The following is a 24293-nucleotide window of genomic DNA, read 5'->3' on the forward strand; positions in this document are numbered from 1 at the left end:
ATTTCTTGTAGAGCAGGTCTGGTGTTAATGAAATTCCTCAGCTTTTGTCAGGGAAAGTCTTTATTTTCTCCTTCAAGTTTGAAAGGATATTTTTGCTGGTATTCTATTCTAGGGTAAAAGATTTTTCTTTCAGCACTTTATGTCATGCCGCTCTCTCCTGGCCTGTAAGGCTTCTACTGAAAAGTCTGCTACCAGATGTATTGGAGCCTCATTGTATGTTATTTGTTTCTTTTCTCTCACTTCTTTTAGGATCTTTTCTTTATCTTTGACTGTTGGAAGTTTGATTATTAAATGCCTTGTAGTCTTTAGTTAAGTCTTCTTGGTGTTCTATAATAACCTTCTTTTACTTGGATATTGGTATCTTTCTCTAGGTTTGGGAAGTTCTGTGTTATTATCCCTTTGAATAAACTTTCTACCCCATCTCTCTACCTCCTCATTAAGGCCAATAACTCTTAGATTTGCCCTTTCGAGGCTATTTTTTAAATCCTGCAGTCACACTTCATTGTTTTCTCTTTTTTTTTTCCTCTTGACTGTATTTTCAAATAGTCTGTCTTCAAGCTCACTATTTCTTTCTTCTGCTTGATCAGTTCTGTCATTAAAAGCCTCTGATGCATTCATTCTTCAATATGCCAATTGTGTTTTTTAGCTCTGGAATTTCTGCTTGGTTCTTTTATTTCAATCTCTTTATTAAGTTTGTCTGATAGAAATCTGAATTCCTCCTCTGTGTTATCTTGAAATTCTTTTAGTTTCCCCCCAAAAAAGCTACTTTGAATTCTCTGTCTGAAAGGTCACATATCTCTCTCTCCTTTTTTTTGAGACAGGGTCTTGTAGTGGTGCCATCTCGACTCACTGCAACTTCCACCTCCCAGGTTCAAGGGATTCTCCTGCCTCCGCCTCCTGAGTACCTGGGATTACAGGCACCCACCACCACGCCTGGCTAATTTTTGTATTTTTAGTAGAGATGGGGTTTCGCCATGTTGGCCAGGCTGGTCTGGAACTCCTGACCTCAATTGATCTGCTTGCCTCGGCCTCCCAAAGTTCTGGTATTACAGGAGTGTGCCACTGCACCTGGCCACATATCTCTGTTTCTATAGGATTGGTTCCTGGTGGCTTATTTATTAATAGTTCATTTAGTGATGTCATGTTTTCCTAGATCATCTTGGTACTTGTAGATGTTCATCTGTGTCTGAGCATTGAAGAGTTAGGTATTTACTGTGATCTGCACTGTCTGGGTTTGTTTGTACCTGTCCTTCTTGGGAAGGCTTTCCACATATTCTAAAGGACTTGGGTGTTGTGATGTAAGCTGTATCTGTTTTAGGGGACACCCCAAGCCCAATATTGCTGTGGTTGTTGCAGACTCATAAAGGTACCACCTTGATGGTCTTGGTCAAGATGTGAAAGAATTCACTGGATTACCAGGCAAAGACTCTTGTTCTCTTCCCTTACTTTATCCTTAACAACAGAGTTTCTCTCTCTGTTCTGAGCCATCTAGACCTGGGGGTGGAGGGACACAAGCACTCCTGTGGCCATCACCACTGGGACTGTGCTGAGTCAGACCTGAAGCCAGCACAGCACTGGGTCTCCCCCAAGGCCTGCTATAACCACTCCCTGGCTACCGCCTACGTTCATTCAAGGCCCTAGGGCTCTACAATCAGCAAGTGGCAAAGCCAGCCAGCCAGGCCTGTGCCCTTCCCTTCAGAGGGAAGAATTCCCCCAGGTCCCTGATGGGTCCTTTCTGGAAGCCAGGGACTAGAATCAGAAACCTTGGAAGTCTACCTGGTGTTCTATTGTATGGCAGCTGAGCTGGCACTCACACCACTAGGTGGAGTCCTTCCCACTTTTCCCTCCCCTTCCCAGTGGCAGAGGAACCTCATCCCAGAGGAACAAGCCCAGGGGGAGTACTGGCAGACTGCTGCTGATGTTCCCTTCAGGCCCAAGGGCTCTTAAGTCAGTTTGTGGTGAATGTTGCCTGGCCTGGGACTCACCTTTCAACCACCCTTCAGGGCAGTAGCTTCTCCTATAGTCCAGGGCAGGTTCAGAAATGCCATCCAAGAGTCAAGTCCTGGAATCAGGGACCCCATGAGCCCACTTGGTGTTCTACCCCACCGTGGCTGACCTGATAGCTAACCTGGTGCCAGGAATCAAGCAGAAGTAGTCTCGCCCCACCCCATAGCTACCACAGCTGAGAATGTGCAGAGTCTCGTAAAGGGTAATTTGCATCATCTTGCTCTGTCCTATTCCCCTTAGCTAACTTAAAAAATGTTTTTTAGGGATGGAGTCTGTGTTATCCAGGCTGGTCTCGAACTGTTGGCCTCAAGTGATTGTTCCTTTTTGGCCTCCAAAAGTGGTGGGATTACAGACCTGAACCACTGCACCTGTCCTTCTTTCTTTCTTTTCTGCACCTGTTCCCATTGTGCTGACCTTCCTGCCTTCCTCCCTCCCCCACCCTTCCTTTCATTTCTTTCTTGCTTGACAGGTTCTCCATCGCCTAGGGTTGCGATCATAGTTCACTGCAGTCTCAAGTCTTGAGCTCAATTCATCCTCCCACCTCAGCCTCCCTAGTAACTAGCCGATATTACAGGCATGAGCCACCAGGCCCAGCCATAGCCAAGCCTTTTAAATGCATTATTTGCTGAAGTCACTATACACAGTCCTATTTTTGCTCCATTATGTACACCATCACCACTGCCTTTTTTTTTTGGTTAAGTTCCACATTCCTTATTTTATTATTATTATTATTTTATTTGATTTTATTTTTTTTTTTGAGATGGAGTCTCACTCACTCTGTCACCCAGGCTGGAGTGCAGTGGTGCGATCTCGGCTCACTGCAATCTTTACCTCCCAGGTTCAAGTGATTCTCCTGCCTCAGCCTCCCAAGTAGCCGTGATTACAGGCGTGAGCTACCATGCCCGGCTAAGTTCCATACTTCTTTCTAGGTAGGGCCAGATCAGGTCCCTTCCCTATAGAAAGTCATTTCTGACCACTGTAAGAAATCAGAGGCTGGACATGGTGGCTCATGTCTATAATCCTAGTACTTTGGGAGGCTGAGGTGAGCGGATTGCTTGAGTCCAAGAGTTCAAGAGCAGCGTGGTGAACATGGTGAAACCCTGTCTCTACAAAAACTACAAAAATTTGCCAGGCATGGTGATGTAAGCCTGTGGTCTCAGCTGCTTGTGAGGCTGAGGTGGGAGGATCACCTGAAACCAGGAATGTCGAGGCTGCAGTAGGCCATGATTGCACCACTGCATGCTAGCGTGGGCAGCAGCGTGACCCTGTCTCAAACAAACAAGAAAAAATCAGAAATTGTGTTAGAAATTCAGAAATCAAAGAGGCTTTATGTTGACAGCTGATATCATCCATAACTGCCACCCTGGTTTTTCTCTTTACGGACCCCTCATGCCCCTTAAAGTGCATTGTAAGTCCCTAAGAGATGAAAACAGATTATCTTTTTTTTTTGGAGACGGAGTCTTACTCTTGTTGCCCAGGCTGGAGTGCAGTGGTGCAGTCTCGACTCACTGCAACTTCTGCCTCCTGTGTTCAAGCAATTCTCCTGCCTCAGCCTCCTGAGTAGCTGGGATTATAGGCATGCACCCCAACACCTGGCTAATTTTTGTGTTTTTAGTAGAGACAGGGTTTCACCATGTTGGCCAGGCTGGTCTTGAACTCCTAACCTCAAGTGGTCCGCCTGCCTCAGACTCCCAAAGTGCTGGGATTACAGTCATGAGCCACTGTGCCCGGCCTTTGATTTTTTATACATAACATGTATGTACAGAGTGTGTATGTACATTTTAATGAGAGGTATGTATTTTCCCAGGGGTAGAACACAGTCAAATTTACTGAAATTTACTACTTATCTACAAAGGAAAGAATCTGAAAATCATTTTAAATATCAGTTTCTACAATATTTATCTTTGAACTAAAAAGAAATAAAAATATCAGTTTGGAGCATTACTTTATAAATTCAGATATTAGGGCTTTTTTTGTTTTTGTTGTTTTTTTTTTTTTTTTGACAGGGTCTCCCTCTGGCTGGAGTACAGTGGTGTTACGGGATCCTTGGGGTGTCGCCTCACCAGCCAGAAACTTGTGTGGCCAGTGGTGCCTTTGCCTGAGTTTTCCTCTGGCCTGCTGGGCTCATTCTACCCACTCAGCCTGGCAGGCTGTGCTCAGCTCCTGCTACCAGTCTGGGTCCCATGCCTGCCAAGGGAGAGCCAGTCATGGAGCGGTGAGGGGTGTGTTAGTGAGCGTGGGGTCTGGCCACTGCATACAACCAGGCACTCTGGCGGTGGTGGGGCGGGCAGCTCCAGGTGCCAGTACTGGCACCAGCTCCCTATGAGGCTGTGGCTGGACCAGGGATACCATAAGCAGTTTCCATGGCTGACACCAGGGAATGCAGTGTGGTGCCTGGAAGCTTGGAGACTCCAGGAACTGCAGCGCCTTAAAGAGGGTGTCACCGCTCTGGCTTGGGGAGCTCCTAGGTCTGGGCTCCCCAGAGGGCCACAGCTCTTCTGTCCTCTTGTTGGCTGTAACATTGTGGGCAAGGGGTGTTTCAGCCCTGTTTGTGTTACAGCTCTTTTAGCCCTGCCATTCCCTGGGTCTTGAGTTCTTGTCCTGCATCCAGCAAGAATGAAGTACACAGACAAGAGACAAGTGGAGAGTGAGCAAGACAAAGAGGAGCTTTATTGAGCAATAGAACAACTCAGAGGAGACCTGTAGTGGGCAGCTCCTCTCCGTAGCCAGCATGTCCCGATGAGTGTTCAGCTTTCAGCAGAGAGGGTAGCTCCTCTCTGAAGCTGGTTGTCCCATCATTTCTTCAGCTCTCAGTAGAGAGGGTAGCTTTTCTCTGCTGGGCAGGTCATCCCGACGAGTGTCCAGCTCTCAGAAGAGAGGGTAGTTCATCTCTCCAGCTGGCTATCTGGTCGTCTCTTCAGCCCTCAGCAGAGAGGAGACCCTGGGGTGGGCAGCTTCTCTCTGCAGCTGCTCTCCCATCATCTGGCTGAATATGGGGCTTTTATGGGCCTCAGGGGAGGAAGTGTGTGCGAAATGGTCCGTGGGCAAACATGGGCGGGCCTGGAAAAGGCACCACAAGTTCCCACCCCAGTCAGTAGGATCAGCAGTCTGACACCCAGGCTTCAGGCCCTCCCCGACTTGAAGGTGGTGCTTCACCAAGGACTCACCCACTCCTGCCCAGGAGCTTGTCTGCCTCCTGCTGCCATTTATGGTGCCCAGGCTGTTTGTGCCAAGGAGTGTCTGTGGGCCAGCGCTGAGCTGCCCTCAGCACCCCCTTGGCCTCTCTTCTGTGCTCATTGGTGCCCAAAGTCCGCAGCAGGCTGAAGTGGCAGGGGCTGGTGTGTCAGCACTGCCCCCGAGCCTGTGCACACCCAGCCAGGTTGTGACAGACCTAGGGTTGGCCTCAACTTTGCCTTGTGAGTGGAACAGGCGCTGATATTGAGGAAAGTCCAGGCAGTGGGAGCAGACACCTCCGAGCCTGCAGGGGCAAGGTGGGGCCTTCCCAGGCCCCGGAGAGTGCAGAGATGCCTGGATCTGCAGCTGTAGCTTGGGCAGCTGTAGCCACCCCTGGGAGGGTGGGAATCCTGCATGCCCCTGGCTCCCACTGGCTCCATGGAGCATGGCATATGCACATCCTGGGCCCACCTCTGCCTCAGGGCCCCTCTCTGCCTGCCCCTCAGTGCCCGACTGTACTGCTACCCTGCTGGCAGGCAACTCAGCCTGGCCCCATTGCAGTGTCTCCCAGGACAGTGGTCGAGGTACAGGTGGCATGGCAGCCCTGGCCAGCGCCACACAAATGAACCTGACGCACCCAGGGCTGGCCTCACAAGTCCTAGCTGTACCCTTCAGCCAGGTGCTCACAGACCCTTGGGATGCGGTAGGAAGCAAGGTTGAGGCTGTGGCGGAGACTCCAGGCCTGGGAGTGGTTCCTGCCTGGCCCTGTGATGGTGGGGGTGGTTCAGTCAGGTGCCTCCAGGACATGGGGCACAGGAAACCCACTGCCACCACTGCCGCTCCCACAGCTGCTCTTGCCACCACCGCTTATGCCTCCCCACTGCAACTGATGTGATGGCAGCAGCCAGTCTAGATGGCCCGCCACTGCCATGAGTGGCTTGATCTTGCCTCACTGCAGCCTCAACCTCCTGGGAGCAAGCGATCCTCCCACGTCAGCCTCCTGAGTAGCTGGGAATATGGGCATGAACCACCATACCCAGCTGATTTTTGTGGGTTTTTTTTTTTTTTGTAGAGACGGGGTTTTGCCATGTTGCCCAGGCTGGTCTCAAACCCTTGAGCTCAAGTGATCCACCCACCTTGGCCTCCCAAAGTGCTGGGATTGCAGGCATGAGCGACCACACCTGGCCCCAGATTTTTTTTTTCTTTTTTGATTTCATGTCCCTTGAGTCTTTTTTTTTCTCAGATTTTAGTATTAACAAGTAATAATTAGCAGGAATAATATAAAAATAATTCAGTAGTTTTACAAAGCAAGAACAGAGATGGGCAGTGTAAATGTGGAAATGTATGGCACTGGTCCTTATTTCTCAGTAGGGGAAACAGACCAAATGGACCTAAAGGCAGTTCCCAGGGCCACAGATGCAGTATCATTGCTGGGGTAGGTTCCTTCCATCCAAGTATCCTAAGTCACTCCCTTTCACAGTAATTATTTGCATGTTTTAATAATTAATGGTAAAGATATTACTTATAGATTTTGTGAAAGGAAAATAAATCTAGGGACCCCAAACTCATTAAGCCAAAGGGAAAAGTTAAGCTGGGAACTGGGTCACACAAACCTGTCCCTTTTGGTTCCTAAATAAGATGGCTACAAGATGAAAAGCTACATGCTTCCGCCATATTTTGCCCACAAGCAAATTCATAGTGAGCTCCAAGATCTTTACCCTGAGGTTTTTCTGCTAAAATTTTACCATGGCAATGTAAATTGATAGCATATCCTTACAGGTGCAGTCACCCCCCTGCCCACCAGACAAATGCATATCTGATTGTTCTCCTGCCCCATTTTGTTTGGGTTATCTTATGTAAAAGTGCCGTCTCTACAAATAATAATAATAATAATAATCAAAAAATTAGCCAGGCATAGTGGCACGTGACTGTAGTCCCAGCTACTCAGGAGGCTGAGACAGGAAGATCACTTAAGCCCTGGAGGTTGAGGTTATAATGAGCCATGATGGAGCCACTGTACTCCAGCATGGGTGAAAAAGCGAGAGGCTGTCTCTAAAAAAATAAAGTGCAGATTCACTGGGCCAGACAAAGGCGTGAATTACTATTTTCCCTAACCCCCCTTACATGAAAATTGTGTACTTCTCAGTAACCTGCCCTTTCCCCTTTAAATTTGGAGCCCTCAAAATTATCTTCAGAGAAAGGCGTAGACCTGTCTCCCGGGCATATTTCCTTAACTTTGGCAAATAACCCTGCTGGGATTACAGGCGTGCACTACCATGCCCGGCTAATTTTTGTATTTTTAGTAGAGACAGGGTTTCACCATGTTGGCCAAGCTGCTGTCAAACTCCTGGCCTCAAGTGATCTGCCCGTCTAGGCCTCCCAAAGTGCTGGGATTACAGGCGTGAGCCACCATGCCCAACCTCTGCTTCATGTTTCTTAAGTGAATCAATAGAGCAAAATCATTTTCTAAAATCCTACAAGAGATATGTCAGATTTTGAAGCAGAAATTATCAAAGCTTTACTTTCCAGGCCCCTGCTCTTTGTCCTTCCTTTCTGCTGAATCCTGCTGTGGCCGTTTTTATGTTGTGCTGGTTGAGCTTCAGCACTTCTGAAACCCTTTGTGGTTGTATTCTCATTCAGATCCATCTGCGTTCTTATTCAGTGTGGCTCTCAGTGAATCTTCTCAAATTTAGCAAAATGCATCTTTCACATTTTAGGTGCATCTGCTGCATTTTAAATTAAGGCCTTCCCTCTTCATCTCAAATATCCTTAATCCTAAATAATTCGACTTTCTTTATAATTCCTTTTAGTCTTTTATATGCATTATTTATAGTACCTTACACATTTTGCAGTTTATAACCTGCAAATGCCCATAGCTCAGTTTATTTATTCCCTGGACTTTGTCAGTTTTTAGTTAGCAAAATCAAAAATTAAGTTTTATAATTATATCAAGTTAGTGATTATTTTTTCACCTGTTGAATTCTTTTATCATGAATTATAGGAAACGGTTTACACGAAAGTCTAATGCTTAGTAAATTGTATCTTTTGAAATGAAGTTATAAAATGCATTCCCTGTATTTTAAGATTATTTGCCAATACTTAGATTAAAATAGTTTGACCAATTGAAATTAAAATTGTTTTTAAGGTAGTCTAGTATTGGAAAAACATGAAACTTTATAGGAAAGAAGGCAGATTAATAAATTAGCAGTGTTAGGTGAGATGGCTTGGGCTTCTCTGCAAGAGTATTAAGTTTAGGTGCTGCATAATAGCTTTGTAAAGTACTATTCTGTCTGAGGACAAAAAGCATGGTGGAAATAATAGATAAAAATGTTAATGTTTGGATAGAGTAACTGATATTCTGTCCTCAGTTATTGTACATATTTGTGTACAGTGGTATTGTGACTTAATTAATAATCATATAATGACTTGATGTTTTTGTGTTGGCAGAAAATAGTATCTAAACTTTGTATTACATTTACTTTATTGACCCTGTAAGAAGAGCCCAAAGAAGCCTAGTGTTTGAGGGTTCGCTTACTGTTGAATTGTGGCATTTGATCACTTGTAAATGACTCAGGGGGATTTTACTATTGAAAGATGTTGGCACCATTTTTTTCCCCTCATTCTTTTAACACTTTTGCTATTCCTGAAACCTGGTAGAAAACCATTATCTCGAAGAAAGTGTTAGTTTTCAAGCGAAGTATAAGATAAAGGGCTTCTTTGTATGTACATATTCTTGGAAGAAGGGAATTATTGCCTTTGACCTAAAAGGAAGAGGCTGAGGCACAAAATATATTTGAAGAGTTTACTTGGGCCAAAGTAAGGACAGCTGCCGAGAAGACTCAGACCCAAGTATCCTTGAATATGCACGGTCTTTGTTACAAACAGGTTTTTTGATTTTTTTTTTCTTTTCAGGCAGGATGTGCTCTGTCACCCAGGCTAGTGTGCAGTAGCGTGATCTCAACTCACTGCAACCTCCATCTCCCGGGCTCAAGTGATCCTGCAGCCTCAACTTCCTGACTAGCTGGGTCAACAGGTGTGCGCCACTACGCCTGGCTGATTTTTCACTTTTTTGTGGAGACAGGGTTTTCACCATGTGGCCCAGGCTGGTCTTGAACTCCTGACCTCAAGGTGTTCCAAAGTGCTGGGATTGTAGGTGTGAGCCACCGCCTGTGGCCACTAAAATTTTTTTTTATAGAGTCTTGCCTTTTTGTCTAGGCTGGAGTACACCGGTGCAATCATGGCTTACTACAGCATCAGCCTCCTGCTTTGGCATCCTGATGTGTGCCACCATGTCCGTCTTTTTTTTTTTTTGAAACAGAGTTTCACTCTTGTCGCCCAGGCTGGAGTGCAGTGGTACGATCTCGGCTCACTGCAGTCTCCGCCTCCCAGGTGCAAGCAATTCTCCTGCCTCAGCCTCCAGAGTAGCTGGGATTACAGGCGCCTGCCACCACACCCAGCTAATTAGTAGAGACGGGGTTTCACCATGTTGGCCAGGCTGGTCTCAAACTCCTGACCTCTGGTGATCTGCCTGCCTCAGCCTCCCAAAGTGCTGGGATTACAGGCGCGAGTCACTGTGCTTGGCCTTTTTGTTTTTTTTTAAAGATAGGGTCTCACTCTGGTTGCCCAGGGTAGAGTACAGTGATGTGATCTTGGCTCACTGCAGCCTGGCCCTCCCGGGCTCAGGTGATTCTTTCACCTCAACCTCCTGAGTAGCTGGGACTACAGCTGTGTGCCACCACACCTGGCTAATTTTTTGTGTTTTTAGTAGAGGTGGGGTTTTACTGTGTTACCCAGGCTGGTTTCGAACTCCTGGGCTTAAGCAATCCGCTGACCTCAGCCTCCCAGAGGGCTGGAATTACAGGTGTGAGCCACTTCACCTGGCCATAATTTTTAATTTTTTTTTTTTGTAGAGACATGGTCTCACTATGTTGCCCAGGCTGGTCTTGAACTCCTGAGCTCAAGTGATCCTCCTACCTCACTGTAGGAGGTAAAGCCTGCCAAAGTGCTGGAATTACAGGTGTGAGCCACTGCGCCTGGCATAAATCATGATTTTTAAAAGCAAATAATATTTCATCAGAATGAAAAGAGTTAATATAATTTTAATGGCCATTGCATTAAGGCCAACTTTGTTGAATGACCCATGCACTGGAGATAAGACCCTGGCCAATGCTGGAGAGAAACTAGGCTGATTTTGTCACTCTGTGCCTGCCTTCTAACGCTGAAGATCATTCTGTGATTCAGTAATAACAGTGTTTTTTCTTAGAATAACTAAAAATGCTTCAGTAGAGGAACTGAACCATAAGAAATGAGTTTTGGCTCAATTTTAGTTTAAATAGTAGTCATTAATCTAACATAGAATGACAGTAAATGCAGTGAGAGAAAGAGTGGGAAAAGTTATTTTATTTTATTTTATTTATTTATGTAATTTTTTGAGGCAGAGTCTTGCGCTATCACTGTCACCCACGCTGGAGTGAGTGGCACGATCTTGGCTTACTATAAGCCCTGCCTCCCAGGTTCATGCCATTCATTCTCCTGCCTCAGCCTCCTGAGTAGCTGGGACTACAGGCGCCCGCCACCATGCCTGGCTAATTTTTTGTATTTTCAGTAGAGACAGGTTTCACCTTGTTAGCCAGGATGGTCTTGATCTCCTGACCTCGTGATCCGCCCGCCTTGGCCTCCCAAAGTGCTGGGATTACAGGCGTGAGCTACTGCACCCGGCCAAAAAACTGTTTTAGATTCAAGAAAAATGTTATATGTTTTAATTTTATAGATAAGTAAATTGACTACATAATTTATATAACTTCAGAGATACTTGCCTCACTAACTGATGGTTAATATGGGGATATTAAGATATTTATTAAAGCAGTGCTTCTCAAAGTTTAATGTATACACTTATCACTTGGCAGTCTTAACTACAATTCAGAGTCCCATTCTGCAGATCTAAAGGTGAGGTTCTGGTTTCATTTGTAACAAGTTCCTAGGTGACACCAATGTTGCTGGTCCCAGACCATACTTTGAGTAGCAAGGTACCGTCACTTTGATATGGCCATTTAGTTAGTTGAATTGAACTCTGTAGACTAAAGATTAAACAGGACGGATTGACCACATGCAATGTTCTTTTTCCCCCACTCTGTAGATGGGCTTACTGCTTATTAGAATGTGCTGCATTTATGGACTCAGTGTGATGTCCCACTCCCTCCTATGAACTTTCTCAGGGAGCATGATGACACGGCCTCACCCACTGTTTCCCACCCAGATTGCTCATCTGTGATGATTCTTTTTTTTTTTTTTTTTTTTGAGGCAGAATTTCACTCTTGTCCAGGCTGGAGTGCAGTGGCACGATCTCGGCTCACTGCAACCTCCGCCTCCCAGGTTCAAGTGATTCTTCTGCTTCAGCCTCCCGAGTAGCTGGGATTACTGGCATATGCGCCACCACACTCGGCTAGTACTGTATTTTTAGTAGAGACAGGGTTTCACCATGTTGGCCATGCTGGTCTCGAACTCCTGACCTCAGGTGATCCACCCAACTTGGCCTCCCAAAGTGCTGGGATTATAGGTGTGAGCCACCGTGCCTGGCCAACTTTTCTTAGCTTTCATCACAAGCAAAATCCCATGTGGCCTGTCCTCTGTCCATGTGTGTAGTCTTATTTGCAAGGTATTTGCCTCTCATTCACAGAGGCGTTCAGTTTTAAATTTGTTTGGGAGTTTGATTAATGTCTCTACAGATTAAGTAAGCTCTTTAGAAGCAGAGACGATGTCTGTTTGGTTCACCATTGTGTCCCTAGTGTCTGGTAGAATGTCTACCTAGTGGTAGAATCACAGAAATATTTGTTGGATAAATCAATGCTGGGCACAGAGTGAGCAGTCCACAAATATCGTTCTTTCTTGACTAGTTAAGTATGTAAATCATGTATTAATACTTGTTAAATGACCAAGGTCAGGGGCGTTTTGTATTTTTAATTGATATAGTTGTACATATTTAGGTGGTACATGTGATATTTTGATATGCATATACAATGTATAATGATCACGTCAGGTAATTGCAATATCCATCACCTCAACCATTTATCCTGTTTTTGTGTTGGGTACATTACAGTTCTTCCAACTGTTTTGAAATAAACAATAAATTACTGTTAACTATAATTTTCCTACTATACTGTTGAATACCAGAATTTATTCCTTCTAACTGTATTTTTGTATCCATTAACCAACTTCTCTTCACCAAACCCCACACTGATGTTTGAATTGCTTCTTTTTGCTCTAGTTGACTATTAAAAACAAATAATAGAACCAACCAAAAAACCGCCTGTTAACAAAGTAGAAAGACAGACACAGCTTTGATCAGCTTACAAAAAATAGGTGTCAGCAGGTATGAAAATCAGTGTTAATTGGTTATTATGGCTTTATTTTGAATGATTTCTTTGTTTTACTTTTATGATAGTTTAACACATACAATGAAATATAACATGTCTTTAGGCTTGTGTCATCTGTTTTTAAAAATTAATAGACTTGAGTTTTTACATCAGTTTTAGGTTTACAGAAAAATTGAGCAGATAGTACAGAGATTCCATACTTCATACCTCTCTCCTGCCTTCAGTCTTCCCTATTATTAACATTTTGCATTGGTGTGGTACATTTGTTATAATTTATGAACCAGTATCCATAGATTATTGAGTAATCCATAGTTTATATTAAAATTAATTTTTTGTACAGTTCTGGGTTTGTTTTCCTTTTTTATAAAATGTAGAACCCTAGAGTTTCTATGTTTTGACAAATGCATAATGTCCTGCTGTCCTGTGTACACCATTATAATATACAAAATAGTTTAACTGCTCTGAAAATCCCCTGGGCCCCATCTGTTGATTGGAGTGCTCCATCTGTTCATTGGAGTGCTCCATCTCTCCTAGCCTCTGGCAACCAGTGGTCTTTTTACTCTCTGTAGTTTGGCATTTCCAGGATGTTATGTAGTTGGAATCATATATAGCCTTTTCAGATTAGTTGTTTCAGTTAGCAATATACATATAAGGTGTTCCATATCTTTTTGCAGCTTGATAGTTCATTTCTTTTCCCTTTTAAAAAATATTTATTTTTTATACAGATGGGATCTCCCTGTGTTGCCCAGGCTGGTCTCAAACTCCCAGGGTCAAGCAATCCTCTTACCTTGCTCTCACAAAGTGCTGGGATTACAGGCCTGGGCCACAGTGCCCACCCAGCTCATTTCTTTTTCTTGCCGAACATTTCATTGTATGGATGTACTACAATTTGCTTATCCATTCACCTGTTGAAAGACATCTTGGTTGCATTCATGTTTTGGTAGTTAAAATTAAGCTTCTATAAACTTTAGTGTGCAGGTTTTTGTGTAGATAAAAGTTTCCAACTCATTTGGATAAATATTAATGATCCATGATTTCTGGATTAGGTGGTAAGGTATGTGTAGTTTTGTAAGAAACTGTCAGAGTGGGCTGGACATAGTGGCCCATGCCTGTAATGCAAACACTTTGGGAGAGACTGAGGTGGGAAGATTGAAGCCAGGAGTTCAAGATGAGCCTGAGCAACACAGTGAGACCCATCGCTACAAAAAATTTAAAAAATTAGTGGGTGTGGTGGTGCGCACCTGTAGTTTCAGCTCCTCAGGAGGCTACGGTGGGAAAATCACTTGAGCCCAGGAGTTCCAGGCTGCAGGGAGTTACGAATGTGCCACTGCACTCCAGCCTGGGCAAGAGTGAGATCCTGCCTGTCTATCTCTCAGTCATCTATCAAAGTAAATAAAAAATAAGACTGTTATGGTGTCTCCCAATGTAGCTGTACAGTTGCATTTCCATCAACAGTGAATGAGTTCTGGTTGTTCCGCATCCTCTAGCATTTTCTGATGTCAGGGTTTTGGATTTTCACTATTTTAATAGGTATGTATTGGTATCTCATTTTGATTTATAATTCCCTAATGCTATGTGATGTTGAGCATCTTTTTATTTATTTTTTATTTATTTATTTATTTATTTCTTGAGATGGCGTCTCGCTCTGTCGCCCAGGCTGGAGTGTGATGGCGTGATCTCGGCTCACTGCAACCTCCACCTCCCGGGTTCAAGCGATTCTTCTGCCTCAGCCTCCCGAGTAGCTGGGACTACAGGCGCCCACCACCATGCCCGGCTAATTTTTTTATACTTTTAATAGAGACGGGGTTTCACCATGTTGGCCAGGATGGTCTCGATCTCTTGACCTTATGATCCACCCGCCTCGGCTTCCCAAAGTGCTGGGATTACAGGCGTGAGCCACCGCGCCCGGTGAGCATCTTTTCACATGCTTATTTGTCATCTGTATATTTTCAATGAGATATTTTGCCCATTTGTAAATTGGATCTTTTTTTACTGTTGAGCTTCAGGAGTTCTTTGTATACTTTTGGTAACAGTCTTTTATCAGATATGTCTTTTGCAAATGTTTTTTCTCCATCTGTAGCCTGTCTTTTCATTCTTAATAGTGTCTTTTGCAGAGCAGAAGTTAAATGAAGTCCCACTCACCAATTTTTTAATGGATTGTGTTTTTGGTGTCATATCTAAAGTCAAGGCCAAAGGCAAGGTCAGCTGGATTTTCTTCCATGTTATCTTCTAGAAGTTTTATAGTTTTCAGTTTTACATTTAATTCCATGATCAATTTTGAGTTAATTTTTGTGAAGAGTGCAAGGTCTGTGTCTAGATTCTTTTTTAAGACTCTTCTATTGAATTGTCTTTGCTCTCTGTTAAAAGATCATTTAACTGTATTTGTGTGGATTTATTTTTGGACTCTATTCTGTTCCATTGGTCTACTTGTCTGTTCTTTCACAGATACCCTACTGTCTTGACTACTGTAGCTTTAGAGTGTCTGAAAGAGGTTGAGGAGTGTCAGACCTTCAACATTCTTCAATATTGTGTTAGCTATTCTGAGTCTTTTCACCTCTGTATAAACTTTAGAATTTATTTTTTGATACCCACAAAATAACTTGCAGAGATTTTGATTAGGATTGCATTGAATTTATAGATCAAGTTAGGAAGAACTAATACCTTGTTAGTATTGAGTCTTCCTATGCATACACATGGAATATTTCCTTAGATCTACTTTGATTTCCTTTGTCAGAGTTTTATAGCTTTCTTGTTAAAGATCTTGTACATATATTGTTAGATTTATACCTAATTTTTGGTGTGCTAATAGAAATAACATTTGGAATTTTTTTTGAAATTAATGTATTTTATTTTTTATTTATTTTTTTTTTTAGAGACAGGGTATTGCCCTGTCACCTAGGCTGGAGTGCAGTGGCGCAATCATAGCTCACTGCAACCTTGAACTCCTAGGTTCAAGGATTCCTGCCTCAGCCTCTGCAGTAGCTAGGACTGCAGGCATGTGCTACCGTGTCCAGCTAATTAAAAAATTTTTTTTTGTATACATGATGTCCTACTATGTTGCCCAGGTGGGTCTTGAACTCCTGGGCTGAAGTGATTCTCCTGCCTCTGCCTCCCAGAGGGGTGAGATTGCCAGACATGAACCACTGCACCTGGCCTGGAGGAGTGTGTGGGTGTGTGTACGTGAGTTCATTTTCTACATGGACAAATAGGTCATCTGCAAGCAGAGACAGTTTTACTGCTTCCCAGTCTACACATTTTAAATTTCCTTTTCTTTTGTTATTGCATTAATTAGGACTTTCAGTACTATGTTAAATAGGAGTAGTAAAGGGGACATCCTTGCTTTTTGCCTCATCATAGTGGGAACACCATTAAATATAAATGCATATATAAAAATTTATATGTTTATATAAAATATATATTTACATAAATATTTAAAATATATATTTACATAAATATTTAAAATATATATTTACATAAATATTTAAAATGTATATTTACATAAATATTTACATAAAATATATATTTACATAAATATTTAAAATATATATTTACATAAATATTTAAAATATATATTTACATAAATATTTAAAATGTATATTTACATAAATATTTACATAAAATATATATTTACATAAATATTTAAAATATATATTTACATAAATATTTAAAATGTATATTTACATAAATATTTAAAATGTATATTTACATAAATATTTAAAATGTATATTTACATAAATGTTTATATAAAATATATTTACATAAATATTTATATAAAATATATATTTACATAAATATAAAATATATTTATATTAATATATTTATATATTATATATTTATTATTATAAATATATATACACCATAAATACTTTCTCACCATTAAATATGTTAGCTCAAGGTTTTTTTTTATCAAGGTGAAGGAGGTTTTCCATTCCTAGTTTGCTGAGAGTTTTATCATGAATTGAGTGTTGGATTTTGTGAAATGCATTTTCTGCATCTGTTGATATGATCATGTGATTTTTCTTGTTTAGCCTGTTTTTGTAGTAGATGACAATTGATTATTGACTGTTGAGCTAGCCTTTTGTATACTTGGAATAAATCACATTCAGTTATGGTATATAATTCTTTTTACATTGGTTGGATTTGCTAAATATTTTGTGGAGGATTTTTGTGTCTGTGCTAATGGGAGATGTCAGTCTGTAGTTTTTTTAAGACAGGGCCTTGCTGTGTTGCCCAGGCTGGAGGGCAGTGGCATGATCAGGACTCACTGCAGCCTTGACTTCACAGGGTCAAGCAAGTCTCCCACCACACCTGGCTATTTTTTTTTTTTTTTAAATTTTAGTAGAGAGAGTCTCGCTATGTTGCTCAGGCTGGCCTTGAATTCCTGAGCTCAAGTGATTCTCCTCCCTAGGCTTTCCAAAGTGCTGGGGTTACAGGTGCAATCCATCATGCTCAGCCTGTAGTTTTTCTTTCTTGTAGTGTTTGTCTGTTTTTGCTGTTAGGCTAAACCTGGCCTCACAAAACGAGTTAGGAAGTATTCCCTCTACTTCTATTTTCTAGAAGATATTTGAGAGAACTGGTATAATTTCTTTCTTAAATATCTGGTAGAATTCACCTATGAACCTATCTGGGCCTGATGCATTCTGTTTTGGAAGGGTATAGTTATTGATTCAATCACTTGCATGGATATAGGTCTGTTCAGATTACCTGTTGTTTCTACTGAATTTTTTTGTACATTTGTGTCTCATTTTCTTTTACTCACCGTTATGCTAACGAGGATGTTGTGACTGAGGAGTGTTAAAATCACCAACTCTGTCAACTTTCTTCCTTCTTTTTAAAAATTCTTTCCATTATAACTTAATGTACTTTGAAGTTCCATTATTAGGTATGTACACATATGATTGTTGTGTCTTCCTGATGAATTGACTCTTTCGTGTTTATAAAATGTTCTGGGCTGGGCGCAGTGGCTCACGCCTGTAATCCTAAGTGCTTTGGGAGGCCGAGGCAGGCGGATTATCTGAGCTCAGGAGTTCAAGACCATCCAGGGGGCAACATGGTGAAACTCTGTCTCTACTAAAATACAAAAAAATTAGCCAGGCTTGGTGGTGCACACCTGTAATCCCAGCTACTTGGGAGGCTGAGGCAGGAGAATTGCTTGAACCCGGGAGGTGGAGGTTGCAGTGAGCTGAGATCACACCACTGCACTCCAGCCTGTGTCATAGAGTGAGATTCTGTCTTTAAAAAAAAAAAAAAAAAGAAGTTCTGCATTATCTCCAGTAATACTCTATATCTTACAGTCTATCTACTCTTTGATATTAAAATAGTCCCTCCAGGCTTCTTATGCTTTACTGTTTGCTTTCAACTTATTTGTGTCTTTGTTTTCAATATTTATCTCTTCTAGGCAACATATAATTGTGGCTTCCTTTTATATCCATTCCAACAACTCTACCTTTAAATTAAAGAGTTTAGTCCATTTATATTTCATATAATTCTTGACAAGGTTGGATTTAGGTCTATTTGTTTTCTGTTTATATCTTCTGTTTTGGTTTCCTTTTTTTTCTTTTCTTTTTTTTGACATAGAGGTATGTATATGAAAATAGCGTGTAGTTTTTACTTCTTTTTTCTCCTCTTCTTTTCCTGATTTCTTTTGGGTTAATTTAATAACTTGAATATATTGGGGCTTATAGCATACCTTCTTAAATTATTATTCTTTTAGTGGTTGCCATAGGGATTAAACCATACTTGGAGTTAATATTGTACCACTTCATCTCTTTTTAAGAGACAGGGCTTTGTTCTTTCTCCCAGGTTAGAGTGCAGTGGCTCAGTCATAGCTCACTGCAGCCTCAAACTCGTGAGTTCAAGTGATTCTCGTGCCTCAGCTTCCCGAGTAGCTGGGATTGCAGGTGTGTGCTGCCATGCTTGGCTAATTTTTGTATTTCTAGTAGTGAGACAGGGTTTTGCCATGTTGGCCAGGCTGGTCTCAAACTCCCAACCTCAAGTGATCCACCTGCCTCGGCCTCCCAAAGTGCTGGGATTACAGGCACGAGCCACTGCACCCAGCCCATCTTATACTTAAGAACCCATATGTGTCTGTATAGATTCATCTCTAACCCTGTTCTTTATGCTTTAGGTTTCATATTTATTATAGTCAGATACATTATAAACTTCAGTACAGTCGTATGATTTTTGCTTTGAACACTCCTGTGTATTTTATAGAAATTAAGAGGAAAAATAGTCTATTTTCCTACTAATATCATTTCCAGCAATCTTTATTCCTTTATGAAAATCTAAGTTTCCATGTGTATCATTTTCCTTCAATCTGAACACATTTTAAAGAACATTTCTTATGGTGTCCATCTGCTGGTGATGAGTTCTCTTTTAATTTAACTGTTTATTTTTTCTTTGTTCAGGAGGGATATTTGCTTGGAAATGGAATTCTGGGTTGACAGATGTTTTGTTGTGTTTTGTTTATTCCTCATCTGTTCTCTATTGTTTCTAGTTTGTAGTCAGCATTCATAGGTGTACTTGTTCCTCCTATGTTATTTTTCTCTAGCTGTTTTCAGGAATTTCTCTTTTATTTTTGAGTTCCAGTAGTTTGACTATAATATGATAAACCTACTTGTGGGTAACTGCATTTATCTGCTTGGAGCTATTAGAGCTTCTTGCATGTGTAGATTTATGTCTTTCGCCAAATTTGGGATTTTTCTTGTAATATTTTGTTCTGAATCATTTTCTCTTCTCCTCTGGAACTTCAGTTCAATATATGTTAAGACCTTTTGGCCAGGTACAATGGCGTACGCCTATAATCCTAACACTTTGGGAGGCTGAGGCACTAGGATTGCTTGAATCCAAGAGTTCGAGACCAGCCTAAGCAATATAGTGAGACCTCATCTCGGGTTGTGGGGGAAGACCTTTTAATATTGCCCCATGAGTCCCTGAGGCTTTCTTTTTTGTTTTTTTTTCTTTTTTCTTTTTGAGATGGAGTCTCGCTCTGTTGCCCATCCTGGAGTGCAATGGCGCTATCTCGGCTCACTGCAAGCTCCGCCTCCCGGGTTCATGCCATTCTTCTGCCTCAGCCTCCCGAGTAGCTGGGACTACAGGTGCCCGCCACCATGCCTGGCTAATTTTTGTATTTTTAGTAGAGATGGGGTTTCACCATGTTAACCAGGATGGTCTCCATCTCCTGACCTCGTGATCTGCCCGCCTTGACCTCCCTAAGTGCTGGGATTACAGGAGTGAACCACCACACCCAGCACTTTCTTTTTTTTCTATAAGATTGGATAATTTATCTTTATCTTCAAGTTCATTGACTGTTATTAGAACCATACTCTATACCCATACAGCGAATTTTCTATCCTAGAATTAGTTTCTATTTTTTGAGATTTCCTGTTTATTCTTGTTGAGTGTATTTCTTTTATGTCCAATTAGCGTTATAATAGCTGCTTTGAAATATTTGTCTGTTAAATCCATATCTGTTTCATCTTATGATTGGTCTTCATTGATTGCTTTTTTTAAAAATAGTGTTTTTTTTTGTTTGTTTGTTTGTTTTTAATTGAGACAGAGTTGCTCTGTCACCCAGGCTGTAGTGCAGTGGCATGATCTCAGCTCATTGCAACCTCTGCCTCCTGGGTTCAAGTGATTCTCCTGCCTCAGCCTCCCCAGTAGCTGGGACTGTAGGTGTGCTCCTCCACACCTGGCTAATTTTTGTATTTTCAGTAGAAACTGTTTCACCATGTTGCCAAGGCTGGTCTCGAACTCCTGACCTCAAGTGATCTGCCTGCCTTTGCCTCCCAAAGTGCTGGGATTATAGGCTTGATCCACCGCACCTGCCCCATTGATTGCTTTTTGATGACTGAGTTTTGTTTTCCTATTTCTTTGTTGGTCTGTTAATCTTGGATTATATAATAGACATTGTGAATGATAAATTGTAGAGCCTCTGGATTCTGTTATGTTCCCTCAGAGTGTTGATTTTTACAGTCTTGTCTTCAGCAGTCAAGTTGATTGGATTCAGATGTCAAACTCTACCTCCTTCACGGAAGGCAGCAGATGAAATATTTATTGTTTTGTTTTATCTGGATTGTTTAGTACCTGTCCTGTGCATGTATAGTTCCAGTGATCAGCCAGAAATTTGAGTAGAGTTTATATATGAATTTGGACTTTCTTCTTCTTAGGCTGTCTCCCTTTCATCACTGTTCTCTGGCTTTCTAGCTGCTGTGGTTGTCCTGAACTCTATCCTCAGATTCTTCAAGCCAGCAAGCCAACAAGACTGTGGGTTTCTGAGGGTTTTTTTTTTTTTTTTTTGGAGATGGAGTCTTGCTCTGTTGCCCACCAGGCTGGAGTGCAGTGGCGCGATCTCAGCTCACTGCAAGCTCCGCCTCCCAGGTTCACACCATCCTCCTGCCTCAGCCTCCCGAGCAGCTGGGACTACAGGTGCCCGCCACCACGCCTGGCTAATTTTTTTGTATTTTTAGTAGAGACGGGGTTTCACCATGTTAGCCAGGATGTTGTCGATCTCCTGACCTCGTGATCCACCCATCTTGGCCTCCCACAGTGCTGGGATTACAGGCGTGAGCCACCGTGCCTGGCAAGGGTTTCTGAGTTTTTAGTCATACCTCTCCCCTTCTTTTGGCATCCACTGGGGCACACCCTCAGGCTGAAAGGCATGAATAAACCGTCTAGAGCCCTCCCTGCTTCCAAGGTATTGTTGATGTCCCTTCCATTTTATAGCTATTTTGGTCACTCTGTAGTGCCTACAGGCAGTTGTTTTGTGATATTTTGCCCCACGGTTTGTTGTTGTTATCAGTGGCAAAAGTTGCTCTGATAGAACTGCTTAGCTAATACTAGAGAAGTCAAAATTCTCCATATTAGTTTTAACAGTAGCCTTAAAAAAACAGAATGATAGCTAATATTTGTTTGGCACTTTTTTTGTTATAAAAGCACTTTAATGTAGATTGTCTGATTTATCATGATTGTTAATAATACAGTGCTGCTACATGTTGTGCCAAAAATATGAACAGGAAATGAGTCTGAAGTCTCAATTCAGCATGATTACACATATGAACTGATACAACAACTAAAATGAAAATAAGTGGGGAGAAAGATAGTAGTGGAAACTATAGGTATGAAAAGGAATAGAAGAATTTTGTGCCTTTGGGGAGGTGATACTGCCAGCAGGTAAATGGAGTCCATGTATGCATATATAAATTACTGTCTTCTGTATTAGTTCTTTTCATTTGTTATTTTTATGTATTTACTTGCCTTTTGAGATGGAGTCTCACTCTGTCACCCAGGCTGGAGTGCAATGGTACAGTCTTGGCTCACTGCAACCTCTGCCTACCCGGTTCAAGTGATTCTCCTGCCTCAGCCTCCCAAGGAGCTGGGATTATGGGTGTGTGCCACCACGCCTGGCTGATTTTTGTAATTTTAGTAGAGGTGGGGTTTCACCATGTTGGCCAAGACTGCTCTCAAACTCCTGACCTCAAGTGATCTGCCTGCCTCGGCCTCCCAAAGTGCTGGGAGTACAGGCATGAGCCACTGTGCCTGGCTGCTTTTTGTTTTGTTTGTTCTTTTTTTTGAGACAAGGTCTCACTTCGTCACCTAGGCTGCAGTTCTGTGGCACAATCACAGCTCACTGCAGACCCGTCCTCCTGGGCTCAATTCTCATGCCTCAGCCTCCCATAGCTGGGACTATCAGCTAATTTTTACATTTTTTCTCCCAAGAAATCTTGCCTAAGATTAAATTATTGTTTTTTTGAGACGAGTCTCACTCTGTCGCCAGGCTGGAGTTCAGTGGCGTGATCTCGGCTCACTGCAACCTCTGCCTCCCGGGTTCAATTGATTCTCCTGCCTCAGCCTCCCGAGTGGCTGGGACTACAGGTGCACGCCACTACACCCAGCTAATTTTTGTATTTTTAGTAGAGACGGGGTTTCACCATGTTGGCCAGGATCATTTCAATTACTGGACCTTGTGATCCACCCCCCACGGCCTCCCAAAGTGCTAGGATTACAGGCTTCAGCCACCATGCCTGGCCGATTATTGTTTTTATACATACAAGGTCTCACTACATTGCCCAGGCCTGCCTCAAACTCTTGGCCTCAAGCAATCCTCTTACTTTGGCCTTCCAAAGTGTTGGGATTACAGGCATGAGCCACTGCACCTGGCCTCATTCTTTTATAAAACTTTTATTTATAATTTTAATAATATTTATCACAGTTTGAAATTCTTTGTCTCTAAAAGAACCATGGGGAAAAGAATAATTTTTTATAAAATTTAAATTATTTAAAAATTGTTTTCTGTTTATTCACTACACTGTAAGCTGTGAGGACCAGGACCATGTTTTTGTATGTCCAGCTCGTAGGCCAGTGCCTGACATGATTTTGAAGGAGGTGACAGGTAGAAATTGAAGAAATTTATTGGAAATGTTCCAGATTTGGATGGTTTTCATTCTACTAGATAGCAGAAAATTTTTTGGGCTGGGTCCAGTGGCTCACGCCTGTAATCTTAGCACTTTGGGAGGCCGAGGCGGGTGGCTGTCTTGAGCCAAGGAGTTCAAGACCAGCCTGGGCAACATGGTGAGACCCCGTCTCTACAAAAAAAAAAAAATATATACAATAACTAGCCAGGTGTGGTGGTGTGTGCCTGTAGTCCCAGCTACTTGGGAGGCTAATGCAGGAGAATCACTTCAGCCCAGGAGGTGGAGGTTGCAGCAAGCTGAGATCGCACCATTGCACTCCAGCCTGGGTGACAGGAGTGAAACCCTGTCTCAAAAACAAAAAAAAAAGGAAAATAAAAAATGGGAAGTGTTAAGGCTAAGCTCAATACTTTGAGCCTCAAAAGAAATATTCAGGCCATGGTCTTGAGTAGTGAGACACCAGAAGTATGGAGATAGTGATGAAAAGCAGTCAATGCTTTTCATTCCCTCTTGCTTCTGTGTTTTAGGGTTCCGAGGTCCTGGCATGATAGGGAGAGTTCAAAGCAAGTATTTATAGGTTATTAGAATTGATTTTCTTAGTTGTGAAACTGTCTTGTTCCACAGCTCTTGGATAAGCACAAGAATACAGAGAGCATGGTGGAGCTTCTGGACTTGTATCAGATGGAGGATGAAGCCTACAGCAGCCTTGCAGAAGCTACAACCGAACTCTATCAGTATTTACTACAGCCATTCCGAGACATGAGAGAACTTGCCATGCTACGAAGACAGCAGATCAAGGTATTTTTTTATTAATCCTAACTAGTAGCCTGCCTGTTTCATAGTTCTCAGCCTGAAAGGCCATGCGTTATCCACAAGAGGAACTTTAAAAAAAAAAAAAAAAAGAAGGTACCTGGTCCTATTTCTGCAAAGTTTCTTGTTTGGTAGAATAGGGTTGTAGCCTGAGTATCCATTCTAAAGCACCTCAAAAGGCAATTCTGCTGAGTAGCCAGGGTTGAGGATAGCCCAGAAAGTAATGTGTTCAAGTTAGCACAAAGTTGTAAATACATTGGGAGGATTCCTATTTTCTCCCTTTCCTGCACTTTCCTTCCTCCTCTAGTCATGTCTCCTCTTTAATGTTTTGGAGACTGTGTACTCTTAGACTTCATTACCAGAAATTTTGGGCAGGCTGAGCGTGGTGCCTCACACCCGTAGTCTCAACATTTTGGGATGCTGAGGCAAGAGGATCACTTGAGCTCCGAGCTTGAGACCAGCCTGGGCAACACGGAGAACCCGTCTCTACAAAAAAAAAAAAAAAAAAAAAAAAAAAATC

The 24293-nt window shown here is 42.3% G+C and overlaps 1 protein-coding gene across 1 annotated transcript in view, besides 7 other annotated features; it reads left to right on the top strand.

Moving 5' to 3' along the window:
• Nucleotides 1-24293, top strand: part of JMY (junction mediating and regulatory protein, p53 cofactor) — a 91081-nt gene that overhangs the window by 18192 nt on the left and 48596 nt on the right. Inside the window, exon 2 of the mRNA NM_152405.5 lies at nucleotides 23588-23761. Coding sequence (NP_689618.4) covers nucleotides 23588-23761 — 174 coding nt within the window. The remainder of the gene's footprint in view (nucleotides 1-23587; nucleotides 23762-24293) is intronic.
• Nucleotides 1054-1842: an enhancer, noted in NCBI's record as "H3K27ac-H3K4me1 hESC enhancer chr5:78551199-78551987 (GRCh37/hg19 assembly coordinates)". NCBI's record gives its function as "activates a minimal SCP1, AML or CMV promoter by ChIP-STARR-seq in primed H9 embryonic stem cells {active_cell/tissue: H9 hESC(primed)}" and the evidence as "EXISTENCE:reporter gene assay evidence [ECO:0000049][PMID:30033119]".
• Nucleotides 3786-4447: an enhancer, noted in NCBI's record as "H3K27ac-H3K4me1 hESC enhancer chr5:78553931-78554592 (GRCh37/hg19 assembly coordinates)". NCBI's record gives its function as "activates a minimal SCP1, AML or CMV promoter by ChIP-STARR-seq in naive H9 embryonic stem cells {active_cell/tissue: H9 hESC(naive)}" and the evidence as "EXISTENCE:reporter gene assay evidence [ECO:0000049][PMID:30033119]".
• Nucleotides 5108-5767: an enhancer, noted in NCBI's record as "H3K27ac-H3K4me1 hESC enhancer chr5:78555253-78555912 (GRCh37/hg19 assembly coordinates)". NCBI's record gives its function as "activates a minimal SCP1, AML or CMV promoter by ChIP-STARR-seq in primed H9 embryonic stem cells {active_cell/tissue: H9 hESC(primed)}" and the evidence as "EXISTENCE:reporter gene assay evidence [ECO:0000049][PMID:30033119]".
• Nucleotides 6982-7519: an enhancer, noted in NCBI's record as "H3K27ac hESC enhancer chr5:78557127-78557664 (GRCh37/hg19 assembly coordinates)". NCBI's record gives its function as "activates a minimal SCP1, AML or CMV promoter by ChIP-STARR-seq in primed H9 embryonic stem cells {active_cell/tissue: H9 hESC(primed)}" and the evidence as "EXISTENCE:reporter gene assay evidence [ECO:0000049][PMID:30033119]".
• Nucleotides 7520-8057: an enhancer, noted in NCBI's record as "NANOG-H3K27ac hESC enhancer chr5:78557665-78558202 (GRCh37/hg19 assembly coordinates)". NCBI's record gives its function as "activates a minimal SCP1, AML or CMV promoter by ChIP-STARR-seq in primed H9 embryonic stem cells {active_cell/tissue: H9 hESC(primed)}" and the evidence as "EXISTENCE:reporter gene assay evidence [ECO:0000049][PMID:30033119]".
• Nucleotides 9224-9403: an enhancer, noted in NCBI's record as "active region_22723". NCBI's record gives its function as "activates an Ori minimal core promoter by ATAC-STARR-seq in GM12878 lymphoblastoid cells {active_cell/tissue: GM12878}" and the evidence as "EXISTENCE:reporter gene assay evidence [ECO:0000049][PMID:35858748]".
• Nucleotides 9469-9993: an enhancer, noted in NCBI's record as "H3K27ac-H3K4me1 hESC enhancer chr5:78559614-78560138 (GRCh37/hg19 assembly coordinates)". NCBI's record gives its function as "activates a minimal SCP1, AML or CMV promoter by ChIP-STARR-seq in naive H9 embryonic stem cells {active_cell/tissue: H9 hESC(naive)}" and the evidence as "EXISTENCE:reporter gene assay evidence [ECO:0000049][PMID:30033119]".

Source organism: Homo sapiens, chromosome 5 (genome assembly GCF_000001405.40).
Source record: "Homo sapiens chromosome 5, GRCh38.p14 Primary Assembly".
Classification (NCBI taxonomy): Eukaryota; Metazoa; Chordata; class Mammalia; order Primates; family Hominidae; genus Homo; species Homo sapiens.